Here is a 17,034-nt window from a genome sequence, read left to right as displayed (position 1 = left end):
ACTGTAGGTCCCTAATGATAGGAAAATTCCCTTTCTACTTCCACAGCAGTACTCCATTTCCAAAAGATGCTGGTCAGAAAGTTGTGTCGTGTGTGTGTGTATGTGTGTGTGTGTGTGTGTGTTTGTGTGTGTGTGTTGGGCTATGCCAAGGTTGCTGATTCTATTCTGTGATCCAGAGTGTATGACGAAATCATGTTGAACCTCATGGCTCTTGAATAAAATAACTACGGGAAATTTGAAGCTTTTAAGAAAAAGACGGTGCGATTGGAAGAGATTTTTAAGAACAGGAAAGAAGCTGGACATGTAAAACCATGCTGGTGATTGAATTAGTGAATGATAGTGTAAAAGAAGGTAAGAAAGAAATTGAGAAAATAAATTGCTTCTGTTTCTGGAACTGTTAGTGTATCCCCAGGACTACATTTCCTTCCCTCCCTCCCTCTCTTCCTCCCTTCCTCCCTTTCCCCCTTCCTTCCTTCCTTCCTTCCCCTGTAACTGGCCCACAGGGGAGAGGTTGAACATGCTTCAGCTGATCTGACTCCAGTAACAGGAAAACTGAAAACTAGTTACACTAGAGGCCTCTTGCTTTTTGTGAGATAATTTCTTAGGAAAAATTTTAAAAAAAAACTAATGAACACAACTGGCTTTGGAAGTTTAAATGCAAATATTTATAATTTTGGAAGTTTCCAAATGCCTTTCCAAATGTTCCCAATTGCCTTTGCCTTATATAGAGATTTAACAGAATCATTAATGTCAATCAGAAACTCATTTTTGAAAGTTGAGAAAAAGCAGCTTTTATACAGGGAAGCCTGGGGCAAGCATAAACACACTACTTTTTTTTTTCCTACAAAAGAGTCTAAAAATTATCAAGGAACTCGTAAAATAAAATTAGCACTTCTATTGTGTGCTTCTTTAATAATCAACAGTGTTGCTCGCAGTCCCAGCGCTCCCAACGAGGGTGCCTCCCGTTGACAACAACCTGAGCAGACCTGCGCCTAGGCCCTCCGCCAGGCCTGTGCTCGCCTCGCCCAGGGGGAGGAAGACTGAGCCCGGCTCAGGCGGCGCGGCGCGCGGTCCCATTTCCTTCCAGCGATCAGTCCCCTGGCTTGCCAGCGAGTCCCCTGGCTTGCCCCAGCGCCCGCCGCGGCCTCCAGCTGCCCCCGCCCTGACCACCGGCCCGGACGTGCCAGCGGCCGCCGCTGGCAGCGCCTGTGCCATGGGGCTGCCCACTCTGGAGTTCAGTGATTACTACTTGGACAGCCCGGATTTTAGGGAGCGCTTGCAGTGTCACCAGATTGAGCTGGAGCGAACCAACAAGTTCATCAAGGAGCTCATTAAGGACGGCTCTCTGCTCACTGGGGCGTTGAGGACAGGTAATGTTGATTGCCTGCCCAGTTCCCTTGCCCTTTCATCCTTTCCAAAGGAACCCTGAGTTCCTTCAGTAACACACCTCTACCCAGGTTGGAGATCTGTCTATGGCAGTGCAGAAATTTTCCCAGTCATTACAAGATTTCCAATTTGAATGTATTGGTGATGTTGAAACAGATGATGAAATTAGTATTGGTCAGTCACTAAAATAATTTGCAAGACTACTCATTGCAGTAGAAGAAAAGCGAAGACTGACCCAAAACGCTAATGATGTATTAATTGCACCACTTGAGAAACTTCAAAAAGAACAGATAGGTGCAGCAAAAGGTGGAAAGAAGTTTGACAAAGAGAGTGAAAAATATTTCTCTATCCTTGAAAAGCATTTAAATTTATCTGCAAAGAAAAAGGAGTCTCATTTGCAAGAGGCAGATACACAAATTGATTGAGCACATCAGAACTTCTATGAAGCATCATCAGAATGTCTTTAAATGGCTCACGCCTGTAATCCCAGCACTTCGGGAGGCTGAGGCGGGTGGATCACCTGAGGTCAGGAGTTCGAGACCAGCCTGACCAACATGGAGAAATCCCGTCTCTACTAAAAATACAAAATTACTGGGCCTGGTGGCACATGCCTGTAAAGCCAGCTACTCGGGAGGCTGAGGCAGGAGAATCGCTTGGATCCAGGAGGCAGAGGTTGCAGTGAGCCGAGACTGCACCATTGCACTCCAGCCTGGGCAACAAGAGCAAAACTCCGTCTCAAAATAAATAAATAAACAAATAAATAAAAATAAAAGAAAAAAGAATATGTCTTTAAAATTCAAGAGGTTCAAGAAAAACAGAAGTTTGAATTTGTTGAACTGCTTTTGTCATTTCTTCAGGATTTATTTACTTTTTTACCCCGAGGGATATGAACTTGCCCAGGAATTTGCACCAAATAAGCAACAGCTGCAGTTCGACTTGCAGAATACAAGGAATAATTTTGAAAGTACTTGACAAGAGGTAGAGGGGTTGATGCAAAGGGTGAAATCTGCAAGGCTATCTGCATGTCCAGGAGAAATGACCACTTGGTTTTACATGGATTAAACAGCCTTGTTACTAGCTCACCGGAAATGTTCAAAATCTTGTATCCGACGAAAGACAGATTCAATTGACAAACAATTCTGCTTCGACATACAAGTAGTTGAAAGCCATGGGATCATCACATTACAGGCCTTCTCAGAAGCTAATAGGAAACTCTGGCTTGAAGCCACGGATGGGAAGGAACTGATTTATACTCTGCCTGACATTATAAGCAAGAAAGAAGAAATGTATTTGAATGAAGCAGGGTTCAATTTTGTGAGAAACTGCATTCAAGCTGTGGAAACCAGTGGTATCACCATTTTAGGCCTCTACTGAATAGGAGGAGTGAACTCCAAAGTTCAAAAACTCATGAATATCATATTTTGTCCTAAATCCCCTCCTGATATTGATATTGAACTGTGGGACAATAAGACAATAATGAGTGGGCTGAAAAACTACCTCAGGTGCTTTGCAGCACCACTGATAACTTACAAGTTACACAAAGATTTGTATCATTGCTGTTAAATCTGATGACCAAAACTACAGGGTGGAGGCTGTACATGCATTGGTGTGCACATTGCCAGAGAAAAACAGAGAGATGCTGGACATCTTAATAAAACATCTGGTCAAAGTATCACTGCACAGCCAACAAAATCTCATGACTGTCTAAAATCTTGGTGTCATATTTGGCCCAACTCTAATGAGAGCACAAGAATAAACTGTGGCTGCTATGGTGAATATTAAATTTCAGAATATTGTGTAGAAATTCTGATAGAGCACAGTGAAACGATTTTTCATACTGCTCCAGACCCAAGCATTCCTCTTCCTCAGCCTCAGTCTCGATCTGGATCCCAAAGGACAGCCTCAGTCTCGATCTGGATCCCAAAGGACATGAGCAATCTGCCTCTCTACAGGCTCTAGGAAGCCCAGAGGGATGTGTACTCCATGCCTGGCTGAACTTGATAGTGATTCCTATAGCAGCAGCACAGACAGCACCCCCATGGGGAGCATCACGTCACTCTCTTCTCTTTCCTCAGAACAAAATAGCACTACAAAGTCAGCTTTCTGCCAGCCCAGGGAGAAATCTGGAGGGATTCCTTGGATTGCAACCCAATCTTCCAATGGACAGAAAAGCCTTGGTCTCTGGACAACTAATCCTGAATCAAGTTCTAGAGAAGATGCAACCAAGACAGATGCAGAATCAGATTGCCAGAGTGTTGCTTCGGTCACTAGCCCAGGGGATGTTTCCCCACCCATAGACCTAGTCAAGAAAGGGCCTTATGGGCTTTCAGGACTGAAAAGAGCTTCTGCTTCTTCTCTCAGATCCATCTCTGCAGCTGAAGGAAACATTAGCTACAGTGGATCTATTCAAAGCTTAACTTCTGTAGGTTCCAAGGAGACACCCAAAGCTTCAAACCCAGACCTGCCTCCAAAAATGTGCAGGAGGTTAAGACTAGACACCACCTCAAGCAATGGCTATCAGCGTCCTGGCTCAGTAGTGGCAGCAAAAGCTCAACTGTTTGAAAATGTTGGTTCACCTAAGCCAGTTTCTTCTGGGCACCAAGCCAAAGCCATGTACTCCTATAAAGGAGAGCACAGCGTGAGCTTTCCTTCCCACAAAGAGTGATATTTTCCAGTGTGGACCCATCAGTGGAACCAGGATGGTTAAAGGCAGCTTATGAAGGCAAAACGGGACTAGTTGCAGAAAATTATGTTGTCTTCCTCTACTACTATTTAGTGGATGGCAGTATCTTCATGGTATCCGGTAACAAATAATAAGTGCTATGATTTTATCTGACACAGATACAAGGGGATCAGCCCACTAAGTGAAAACAGTCAATTTCTATCAAGTTCTTCACCAGCAGACTATGTAGCTCCTTATTAATGGAAAAAAAGGTTTAAATGGTTGGCCATTCTTTTTTGGTTGGTTTCTTATTTTAAAATTTCTTGCTTCTGAAAAATTTATTTTTGGATAATACGTAACTCTCCAGAATGTCTCTTCCATAGCAATTGTAGAGTTTCAAATACTTTATTAAGTACTATATCCCATAAACTTGGAAACCAGAAATCTGCTGTATGGATTTTGAGATGTGTCCTTTACTGCCTGGCATTCTCTAAGGATCTCTGAAACTGCTACTTAAAAATGTTACTGAAAAGCTGGTTACCTGCCCTTTGAGTGCCACAGTCCTGACCTGCTTGTTCTTGACACCTTACATATTACTTCAGAGTTCCCCACTGTGCAGACTCTCAGGTATTAACTGTATAAAACTCTTTACATGCTATTATAATCTGCAATCTCAATCTCTTCTACTTTAAATTAATGTTTCTAGAATAGGTTAAATACACATATACACACACAACTATGCCTGAGAAAAGTTATGCTTTTACAAATAAAAAGAATAGATTAGCATTAACAAGTAGGGTGAATAACAGTAGGCAGAGTCAGAATCAGAAATAAATACCAGTGAATCAAAATAAAAGAATGAAAAATATTCTGTATTAAAAATTATCAATGTAATGTAAAAGTCTGATAAAAGATTATTCTTTTTCTTTTACCTCTGACTGTTGACCTCTGTACACTGTAATAAGGTGTTGCTGGATGGAACTTCTTGATCTAGGTCCTTGGTGACCTTAGTAGTAATAACAGCATTGCTGGCACCCTAATTACCCTCTGCTGAAACAGAAGGTAGTTTATCAATGTACCAATCCCTTAGTCTATACTTGGTTTAAACACGCTTGCCATCATCTGGTATCCTGCTAGATTAGAACCTCTTAAAAGCAAATTGGTTTTCTTTCAAAGACCAACCTGACTCCAAAGACAGATACGGAATCCTGCTTCTTCTGCTGCATAAAGAAATCTCAACCTTCATTTTACTTGAACACAGACCGAAGTGTTCCTACTTCTGCGTTGTCTATGAGCTAGTTCTATGGATGTTCCACTCAGATTTAAAGCTTTTTATTGCACAGGACGTGGATATGAAGCCTAACTCTTGTATCTGATGGCAAGGCATATGTTGTAGCCACAGTACTGGCTATGGTCCCTTTGCTGAAAGAAGCTACAGAAGCACTGATTCAAGCTGTGTTTGTGCTAGAAGTTTTAATCTTGTAGATTTGTGAGGATGGCTCTTTTTCCTTCATAATAGATTACATGTACAAGCAAGTCAGGGCCATATACTGGAGACAGGCTAAAGCTGCTTTTCCCTTCAAGAAAGTTTCCTACAGATAAGGTATTTATGAGCATTGAGAAAGTCAGGACGTGTACTCTAAATCACACAGAGTGTTAATTCCACAGGAAGGCAATGCCAGACATTGGAAGAGGATCACATTCAACTTCTAATAGTAGTTCAATAACAAAACCTTAGCTTTTCAGAAAAAATGTGAAGAAATGGAAATCTGAATCATAATATAAACTTTCTCTACAAGATACTTGGCCTGGTGCAATGTCTCATGCCTGTAATCCCAGCACTTTGGGAGGCCAAGGCTGGTGGATCATGAGGTCAGGAGTTCAAGACCAGCCCGGCCAAGATGGTGAAACCCTGTCTCTACTAAAAATAAAAAAATTAGCCGAGTGTGGTGGTGGGCACCTATAATCCCAGCTACTTGGGAAGCTGAGGCAGAAAATTGCTTGAACCTGGGAGGCAGAGGTTGCAGTGAGCTGAGAATGTACCAATGCACTCCAGTTAAAAAAAAAAAATTAACCATTTAGATCAATGCTGTCTGGTTAAATATTCTGTGATAATGGAAATATTCTATACTTGCCCTGTCCAATAAAGTAGCCACTCGCCAAGTGTGTCTATTGAGCACTTGAAATGTAGCTAGTATGACGGAAGAACTGAATTTTAAATTTCATTTAATTATAACTGATTAAAAGTTAAGTAGCTAGTGGCTACTATACTGAATACCACAGATATATACAACAAATTTTAAAAATTTTCCAAACATGGGAATGGGTCACCTAAATGATTTTAGATACCAAGCTAAATAAAAATATCTGGAGATGATACTATTTTGACTCTAATAATTTTTTTGTTGAAAGCAATATATATATTATATATACACACATATACATATAAATATATACACATACATGTATATATAATCTAGAGGTTTCTTTCCTTTCAAAAATACTTCATACCTGTAACTTAAAAAATATAATTTTATCTTTCTTGTCTTTATTTTGAATTTTCAGTCATTTCAAAGTTAATATGAGCAATAATATCATTAAAAAGTGGGCAAAGGATATGAACAGACACTTCTCAAAAGAAGTTGGCCAACAAACATATGAAAGAAAGCTCAACATCACTGATCATCAGAGAAATGCAAATCAAAACCACAATGAGATACCATCTCATGCCAGTCAGAATGGTGATTATTTAAAAGAGTCAGGATACAATAGATGCTGGTGAAGCTGTGGAGAAATAGGAATGCTTTTACACTGTTGGTGAGGATATACATTAGTTTAATCATTGTGGAAGACAGCATGGTGATTCCCCAAGTATCTAAAACCAGAAATACCATTTGACCCTGCAATCCCATTACTGGGTATATACCCAAAGGAATATAAATCATTCTACTTATTGCAGCACAATTTACAATAGCAAAGACTGGAACCAACCCAAATGCCCATCAATGACAGACTGGATAAAGAAAATATGTCACATATACACCATGGAATACTATGCAGCCATGAAAAATGAATGAGAGCATGTCCTTTGCAGGGACATGGATGAAACTGGAAGCCATCATCCTCGGCAAACTAACACAAGAACAGAAAACCAGACACTGCATGTTCTCATTCAGTGGGAGTTGAACATTGAGAACACATGGACACAGAGAGGGGAACAACATACACCACGGTCTATTGGAGGATAGGGATGAGGGGAGGGAACTTAGAGGATGGGTCAATAGGTGCAGCAAACCACTATGGCACACGTATACCTATGCAACAAACCTGCACATCCTGTACATGTATCCTTTTTTTAGAAGCAGCAATAAAAAAAATGATCACTTCATTTCAGGAGGTAGACTTTTCCTCTTAAAGCTTTTCAGATTTTTATCCCAAGGGTTTGGCTTTTTATGCATCTCAATACGTGTAATTTGCAGTTAATACATCAATGCCTTCTGCTCTTGTTACTTCTCTCCTTAAAACAGTACATCTTTTTGATTAACTAAAGTGGTGACTCTCTCTCTCATTTTTTTTTTTTTTTTGTCAGTTCCTATTGCATTTTTTCCCACTTCGCACTCTGGTATTATAACCTGACACCGAGAACGTTTGTCTCAAGAAAAAAACTGGAAAAACAATGTTTTTCTGGTATAGATTAATTCTGTACTCTTGGCTTTTCCTGATGTATCCAGATTGTTCTATGTAACCAGGAAATTTCACATGCTCTTTCTTTTTCTAAAAAGCCATCCATTCCACCTGGTGGAGGTACTACTTGTTTGTGTGTGTGTGTGTGTGTGTGTGTGTGTGTGTGTATTATTATTCTATAATATGGTTTACATATAACTTTAGACATACACTCTTCCAGCGTCTAGTTGAATTAAAGTAGTTTTTCATGGGGTTTAATTTCCAGTTTACTCAAAAGGGCATATACCAAGAGAAATGGTCATATTACAAAAGGTTTTTTTTTTCTCTCTCTCTAAGTAATCCACCTAACAAGCAGATATTTTATGTTTTAAGATAGCTTCTTGTGGTTTGGGCTGTCTTTATTCGGGTTTTGACCGCCTGAAAAAAACTAAGTCATCTCTAACACAGGTCTAAGTATTTTTTTCTCTTGACCAGGTAACTTTTGAATTTGTTTTTGAAGTCTTTCCATTATTACTCTGGTTAAATAAGTGACCATTATCTCTCAAGGATATGTAATTCTACTTTAATTAAATATTTTTAGGCTTTTTGCATCCAAACAAATGACAAACTTCCACAGAATCAAATTCAAATTTAAGTCTTTTTCACTTAAAATTGACTAAGGGATTTTATAGTTGGGCTCCTGGGAAGTCTCAAAAGATTTGCCTCCCATTAGGCTTGCTTGATCAGCTCCCAAAATCTTCTCTAGTGTCCGTGTGCTTTCTTTCAAAACAATATATAGCATTTCCCTTGCTAGTAAACCCCCAATCTTCTCTTTGTCCTTCACACATATAGAAGACCACCGTGGTTTTCAGTTTTGTTCAGAACTACAATTCTGTGATTCCCAAATAAATTGTATAATTTAGAGATCCATCTTTATTTTGACTTCAATAGTGGTGATAAATTCTGATACAATATTCAAGAATATGTTTTATAACAATACTAAGTCAATTTAGAAATGCATTTTAGTGTGATATAAAATCCTTAACTTTTCTCCTACACTGACATTATGTATGATTTTGTTATTATTTTACAAGCACTTAAAAATTCTCTATTTTACATAAGGTTTATATTAGATATAATTTTGTGAGGAAAATAAAAGTTCGGTTTTCTATTTGCATTGTGCTAATTCAGACTGCACTTGGTTCTTCATGCACACTGTATAAGCTAAAGTTTAGACAAATTATTGTAAAAACTGATACACATATAGACCATTATAGTGTTATTTTTAAAAGCACAAGAAACTACTTTAAAAGATCACAAGGAGATTACAGCAAATGAATCTTCATATTCATTACCTCAATGAAATATAATTTAACACTAGTTTCGATTTTTTTCCAAAAGACTAATTTTCAAGTGAAAGCTTTAGATCTTTGAAAGTAATAGAATTAAAGATAAAGATAGAAAAGATACATAATTCATTTCAGCAGTTTTCTGAGAAATACCATATTTTCCAAAATATATATGTTCTTATAAGAAATGGATTCTCTTTAGGCTATTAGATTATCAATCTTCTACAATAGGCCAATTTTCAAAGCACTAGGCCTATGTTCACTCAACCAGTCTCATGAAGCAAAAACTGAATTAAGATATTGCATTTATTTTAGTCCACATATTTATCAAGCAAAGAAACTATGGAACAAAGACTCTTTCTTGCTGAAGTTCTTGGGATTTCCATGGTGCTTAATGCATATTTTTTTAAATTGTGAGATCAAAGAACACAAATCTTGAGCCATTGTGTATGTTACCTGGGTAAAAAAAATTAAACTTGATCTTTTCAAATATCTAATGGAATCCCAGGCATTGTGATTTATTAAAATATGAAGTTAAATATTTAAGAGAAAATTAATCACAATGAAATGAGTTGACTTTCTAAGAAAAGCAAGTATGTAATTAAGGAATCATTAGCAGACACTCTCAAAACAATTACAACATTTAAAAGCAATCAACATTACAACTCTTAGGTTGTGTTTTAAATTCCTCATAACCTAAACATATATATTCACTAATTATTCACTTGCCAATATGAACAATGAAAGATGAGTTAGAAAAACCAGAGGCTTTAGTTCAAAAATGACAATCTTTGGTACTGCAGCAAGGAAATAACTAGCTGGTGAAATTGATGACTCCACCTGGCTTTATCTCGGTAATGTTCTGAAATACATGCAATGAACAACTTGACATTGTTTGATGTTCTTAATTCTTTACAGCCATCTCTATTGGTAGTCTTAATAGATCAGATCAATCAGAAATGATCATATTATGAAATGTATATCACTTCACATGACTTATCTGGAAAATGTGCTTGTACTTACTTGCACCATCTCAAGTTCCAAGAGCCAAAAACATACACATGCTCATGGAGGAGAATTTCCTTTCTGATTTTAGAACAGTCTGAAAGGGTGTGAAAAAATGAAAAAAGAAGGGGGAGCTTACAAATAACAAAAATGTATATCCAAATGAAAGTTAGAATGTCTATGGAACTAGTAGTAGTAACAACAGTAGACAAAAGATAGGATGTAGATGTTAAGAAGATGTCTACAAGGGAAGCACAAGACTCCAAATGCTCTTGCTACTAAAATGCAGATTCAAGGTTTACCATCTGTAATATTCTGCTGCCATGTACATCTATGGCCACTAGTACTGTCTAAAAGGAGGATATATATTAAGAAATCATCAAAAAGGACTGCATAGCAGAAACTTCTGATATCAAGGGATCAACTTAACTACAATTATATACAGGTGCCAATTTCCTCTGGAGTAAACTACCACACTGGGCCTCATGTACCAGTTAGATAATCCAAGTCAGCCTTTATTGCATAACCTATCTAAAAGATTGGACTCTACATTTTGGCTCTGCAGAACTGAGAGAAGAAATGTATAAATAGGATAGTGATATTGCCTTTGTCTATGGGAATTCTTGAGTCTAATAAAAACTCTGGGAAAAATCTAACTTCATGATTACACTCGGGCACATAGATGATTAATACGAATGAAGTAACAACCATAAATACAATCATAACCACAAGAACAACAGTAATTCAAATTTTCTCACTTCATAGATGTTCTTACAATGCTTTATTGGTATCTTGTAGGTGCTCTCCCCAAGCCTCAGGTGTTATTCCACGATCTCAGTTGATGCAAAGGCAAACACACCACACTCTCCTCTGTTCAATGTCTGCCATCCTTGTCTTTTTGGCCTCTGACTCTTCCCTATACTACTGTCTATGCACTTGAGATCTTCACTGATATAGCTTGGCTCTGTATTTATTGATAAGAATATCTCTTTTCTCTTAGACTAGGCATGGCCAAAAGGTTAATCTGGATTCAAAGATTAATGACAATGACCACTCAGTTTTTATTCAAGATCAATTTTATTTGTTGTAAAAACAAACATGGGTTATGTTCCAGACAAACAGATATAAGTGAGTAGACTTATGCCTTTGTGCCTCCTTGACTCTTCACAGGTTGCAAAAACAAATCCTGCCAGCAGGAGGTGGCAGGTTGCTGAGGTGGCTGGTTGCTCTTTGAGCCATCTTGGCCTTGTCTGGCATGCACAGGCCCTGGCACTGCAAAATATTCAGGGAGTAAGAGTGTTGCACAAAGGATTTTACCAACCTCGTCACATTAAGCAGCATTCAAGGATTTGCTGACCACCACTTAAACAAATGTTGTGTTATGCTATAGCAATGAACTTACTTGTTCTATTTCTAAACACAACATTGGGTTCACACACAGGCCTGGACAAAGCTTCCCACTTCTGAACTATTTACTGATCTTCCTATTCTCAAAGAATGCAAGATGAATGATGTGCAATACCATGGCTATGGCATGTGACTTTTCTAGACCTGGATGGTTAGTGTCCCAATATTTAACTGATTTTTTGGGGGGTGAAAATATGCCAACAGTTCTTCCTTCTATCATCCCCATCACTACCATACATGTAATGACATAATCATGTCAAAGTGTGTCCTCAGAATCACTATTCCTAGCTGAGTATACTAAGGCTTTCTATCTAGGTCAGTTCATTGTGTCTGTGTCTCCTCTAAACCCTCCTTCATCACGCCTACCTTGAGGAATTCAGCAAGTGATCATTCACACAAGCTAAAGGATTTTAGCTTTCTCTGCCATAAAGATTATTGCTAAAATACACACCATACAACAAACCAACCCATTTCCCACAAATCTTACTGTCTGACTTCTCACAAAATACATAATGACTTTTATTGTGTCTCTTCCTTCTGTGTTTCTCTTTCCTAACTGAACTGTTCTTTATCCATGCCTTCTTCCTATCCTGACATATTTTAAAACCTTTAGCATTTCTGCCTATAATATTTGGGTTTTCTCCTTTTCCTATCTTTATTTAATAAGTCCCATACAAATATTTTCCCTGTAATCACAATGTTTTCTTTTCACTTTGCCCAAGAACTGAGTTATGAGTTCCAAATTTGGATAAACTCTACATTGGCTAAGTTTTAGTCATTTGCATTGCTAAGAAAGATGGCAATTCAACATGCTGAAGATGACTTCCTCCCTTATAAAGGGGCTAACACAGAGGGCAATACTGTTCATGCCTCTGAGTCTTGATCACAAGAATTGCTTTAGGCAATTACAATCATGTCTCCTCTGACACATCATATTATTCAAGTGAGACAGAGAAAGAATATGTCCTATGTCACACAGCTGGGTGGTGACAGCTGCTTTAGCATCAGCACACTGCGTTCCCTCTGATTTCTTCATTCATCTCTAAGTAGCAGTAAATCCGGTCCTGAATACTGACTTTGACACTCAGCTTTCTCCACATCCTTCCTGTCACTGCCTTTGAGACTACTTCAGATTCTTCCCTTAGCTTCTATTTCTCCATTTGTAAAATGGGTTGATGAGGGTATCTTCATCAGTAGCTGTGACAATAAAAATGGGATCATCATGCATCCTCCTTAGCCCCATGAGTAAGCTCCCAGTAAGTGAGGTTGTCATCATTACTGGATATTTAAGATTATCTACCTATTTGAAAAACCCTAGTGACAGCGTCTCAGTTGCTTTTCTTTTTGCGTGAATGATCACTTGCTGAATTCATCAAGCAGGCGCTTTAACATTTACCTTCCTTTATTATGCTGGAGCATTTTTCATGTAGGAAGCTTCTGTGGCTTCTCACTATGACTGCTTTGTTTGTTCAAAACTTATACAGGTTGAGTATCCTTTATCTGAAATGCTTGGGTCAGAAGTGTGTTGGGTTTCAACTGTTTTCAGATTTTGGAATATTTTCTTCTATGTAATGAGATATCTTGGGAATGGGACCCATGTCTAAACACAAAATTCACTCATGTTTCATACACACTTAGCCACATACACATAACCTGAAGGTAATCTTATACAATATTTTAAATAATTTTATGCATGAAACAAAGTTTTGAATATGTTTTACTGTGACCCATCACATGAGGTAAGATGTGTGGAATTTTCCACTTGTGGCATCATGTCAGCACTCAAGACATTTTGGATTTTGGAGAATTTCAGATTTTGGATTTTCGAGTAGGTGTGTTCAATCTGTATATATGGGCCAGATTAAGTTGTTTCCTTTAATCCTTGGCTGAAGGAAGCACAGAAGACTTTGGGGCCTCAATCTCTCATATGCAGTGACATTCTCAAAGCCATTGACTCAGCTTCTCACCTGGGTTTCCTTCCAGTGAGCCACAGATAGAAGTCACAGGTGATGACAGGGGCCTGCTGGCTGATGGCATTCCAGTACTGGGTTGTGAAGTTGCTGGTGGTGAAATCAGCATATGGCCTCATCAAAGCTCTCTCAAATGGAATTGGAATTTCAAAGGTTGCCAAGACCTGGAATCCTGGGGGAAAAAAAGAGAGTAAGTGCTAGAGGAGAATAGGAAAATATATGCCCATCATAGTGGAAGGTATTTATAATGGGTCACAACAATAAAGACGAAGGATTTGCTGTGTAGAGTCAAGAATCAATTTCTGAGAACAAGGTAAAGATTTTTATGCTAGGCAAGTGGTTATCTGCAAAATGAAACAATGTGAATGGGTTAAGAATTGGACCATTTATTTGAAACATCTACTCTAAAACAAATTCTTGGGGAAACACATGTAGTCAATAAAAGGGGGTACTGTTCAGAAAAACATAAATCCACATTTAATTCTAAGGTTATCTAGTTTATTCTGAAAGCCCCAAGACAGAGGCTAGAAACTTTATTTTCCTGACTGGACCATTACTGTCAGAACCATTTAGAAAGTTTCTTAACATTTTATTTGAATCTTTATTAAAAGTTTAACTAAAAAATTCTAAAGGCAAGATTTTCTTGGGTTAGCTTACTTTAAATATTTCTCCGGGAATATGTCAGACTCAATTGTCCACTCTGGTATCCAGGGTTTTATTCATAATAGTGTTTTTCTTTTTATATTAATACTTACATTAAGCTTAATTAAGAACATTTTACATACATTTGTGAATTCAGTAGTTCTTTCGAAAAGATACTCATTTGAATTCAATTCTATTTAAGGTATGTAGGTTTTTGCAAAGCATATGCCTAAGCTCATTATTCAATTATGATGTCAGTTGTTATAGTAAAATGATTATTGCCCTACTTAAAAAAATGCCAGCTAAAAATCTATCTGAAAAACATAACTCCTCTTCAGAGAAGATTCTCAAGAATCATCTGGTCCATATTGATTTATACTTTAAAAAGATGGGGGTAAAAAAAAAAGTTATGTACAGGTTGATAGCATAAGAGATTCTGATCTCAACACTGACGTTCTGATCTATATATCCATATACTTGTTCAACATTTCCACCTGGAGGTGTAATAGACATTCACATTTAACAGCTCTAAAATGGGCCTCCTGATACACCCACTGCTAACCACCCCCTTCCCAATACATACACAAACTTGCTATTTCACCAGTCTTCTACCTCTAACCAAATGCTAATTCAATTTGTTTAGTAGTTCAGCCAAAAACTTTGGGGCTATCCTTGATTCATCTCTTTCTTTAACAACCCACACACAGTTGAACAAAATCTATCAGCTCTCTGCTTGAAAAATATCCAGAATCATAATTTCCACCTGCTATCTCTCTGATCCAAACGACTACTGTAGCCTGGAATGTTACAATACTGTCCTAAGTGGTCTCTGCCACTACCCCTGTACCCCTAGTCGGACCTCCATGTAGCAGCCAGAGTGATTCTTGTAAAATGTAACTCAGAGTATATTACAGGAACTTTCCCATTCAGAACCCTTCAATGGAATCTCTTCTCATTTAGAGGCAAAGCCATGGTCTGCAAGGCCTTGCACTCTCTGCATCCTCACTCTCTCTGCCCACCACTCTGACTTCATCTCTTACCGCCCTCCCTCTCAGTGCTTCTGGTGCAGCCATACTGGCCTCCTTGCTGTCCTTGAATATGATTAAAGAACTTCAGCACTTACTGTTTCTTCAACTTGGAATATTTCATCCACAAGTCTCTCTGATTTGCCCTCTCACTTCTTTCAGGTCTCTACTAAGATGACACCTTATCAGAGAGAGTTTCTTTGGCCATCACATATCAAATAGCAGCCTTCCCACAATACTATTTACTTCTTTAATCTGTTTTATTTTTCTGCAATCACTCAACCATATCTAATGCATATTTCTCCTTTCTAAGATTTAAGTACCATAACAAAATTTTGTCTGTTTTGTTTGAACCTATACAGTACCTTGAAAAGTGGCTGACAGGTAATCAGTGCCTAATAAACATTTTTTGACTAAACGAATCAATAAATATCTCAGCAACATACACTTACTTTCCTTTTCTGAAATCTATATCAATCCTTCAATCCTTCCTTTAGCCATTTCAAATATATTTATTTAGCATTTAACACTTGCCAGGCACTGTGGTAGATGCTGAGGTAAAAAAAATTACATATGATATATTGTCTTTAGAGAACTGGCAATCTGGTGGGAGATGTGGACAATTCGTGATTACAATATTTTGCCTGAGTATTCTGCTAGAGGCCAGTACAATATGCACTGGAGGAATACAAAAGAAGCATCTAGTTCTGTCTGGGTGCCAGGAAGGGGAGGGGTGGGGCTGGGTTAGGAAAGGCTTTCTGAGAAAGCTGTCCAAATGGTAATAGCAAGCATTTACTAAAGTGTTCACTGTTCTAACCACTGTACTAAGCACTTTATCTCACTACATTCTCCCAAGAGCTCCCTAGAATAGAATAATTATTATTCTCATTGACAGATAAAAAAATTGATTTACAGGGAGAAACTGAGAGACTTTTTCAAACTGATACAACTAATAAGTAGTGGAGTCTAGTAAATGGTGGGACACATACCAGCATGTAACATCTATGTGAGCATGGATTTCTGTTTAGTGATATATCCTCAGCACCAAGAATAATGCCTATTTAATGAATACAGGAGTGAGTGAATGAGCTATGATGTGAATCCAAGTCTATTAGATCTCAAAGCCCAAGACTTTTAACAATCAAGCTACTGTCTGTCTGATGTGAGGGACAAGTAGAAACTCATGCACATGTAGAAAATGTAATTTGGCAATTGAAAACTGCACTCTACATCCTCACAGGTCAAAGAACAAATTTGAATGAAAAATGTTTAAGGATTAGAGAGTAATGATAACATAAACATTATACAACAAAATGTGTGGGATACAGCCAAAGTGGCATTTGAGGGAAATATCCAGCCATAAATGATGTATTAGACAAGCCAAATATTCGTGGGCTATATTTCTAAGTTAAAGAGAAGAAAAACATAATCAAAGGAAACAGGAGGAAGGGGAAAAAAGAGATAAGGCAATACATCTATGCAATAGAAAACAAAGCAGCATAATAAAGAGTCAATAGGCTGGGCATGGTGGCTCATGCCTGTATTCCCAGCACTTTTGGAGGCTAAGGTGGGTGGATCACCTGAGGTCAGGAGTTCAAGACCAGCCTGACCAACATGGAGAAACCCCATCTCTACTGAAAATATAAAATTAGCCAGGTGTGGTGGCACATGTCTGTAATCCCAACTACTCTACTCAGGAGGCTGAGGCAGGAGAACTGCTTCAACCCGGGAGGCAGAGGTTGTGGTGAGCCAAGAAATTGCCATTGTACTCCAGCCTGGGCAACAAGAGTGAGACCCCATCTCAAAAAAAAAAAAAAAAAAAAAAAAAAGAGAAAGAAAGAACAAAGAAAAAAGTCAATAAAGGCCAAAGAAGTAAATACATTTTAAAACACACAAAATCTTAGGAAAAGAGACAAATATAATTT

At 38.1% G+C, this 17,034-nt stretch overlaps 2 pseudogenes; one reads left to right on the top strand and one right to left on the bottom strand.

Annotated features, from left to right (window-relative positions):
* ARHGAP42P3 (ARHGAP42 pseudogene 3) lies at positions 1,213 to 4,147 on the bottom strand (annotated as a pseudogene).
* LOC124905151 (rho GTPase-activating protein 42-like) lies at positions 1,214 to 5,424 on the top strand (annotated as a pseudogene).
* The last annotated feature ends 11,610 nt before the right edge of the window (positions 5,425 to 17,034 follow it).

Source organism: Homo sapiens, chromosome 22 (assembly GCF_000001405.40).
Source record: "Homo sapiens chromosome 22, GRCh38.p14 Primary Assembly".
NCBI classification, from domain to species: domain Eukaryota; kingdom Metazoa; phylum Chordata; class Mammalia; order Primates; family Hominidae; genus Homo; species Homo sapiens.
The sequence above is the reverse complement of the archived record's forward strand: the minus strand, read 5'-3'. Positions and strand labels throughout refer to the sequence as shown.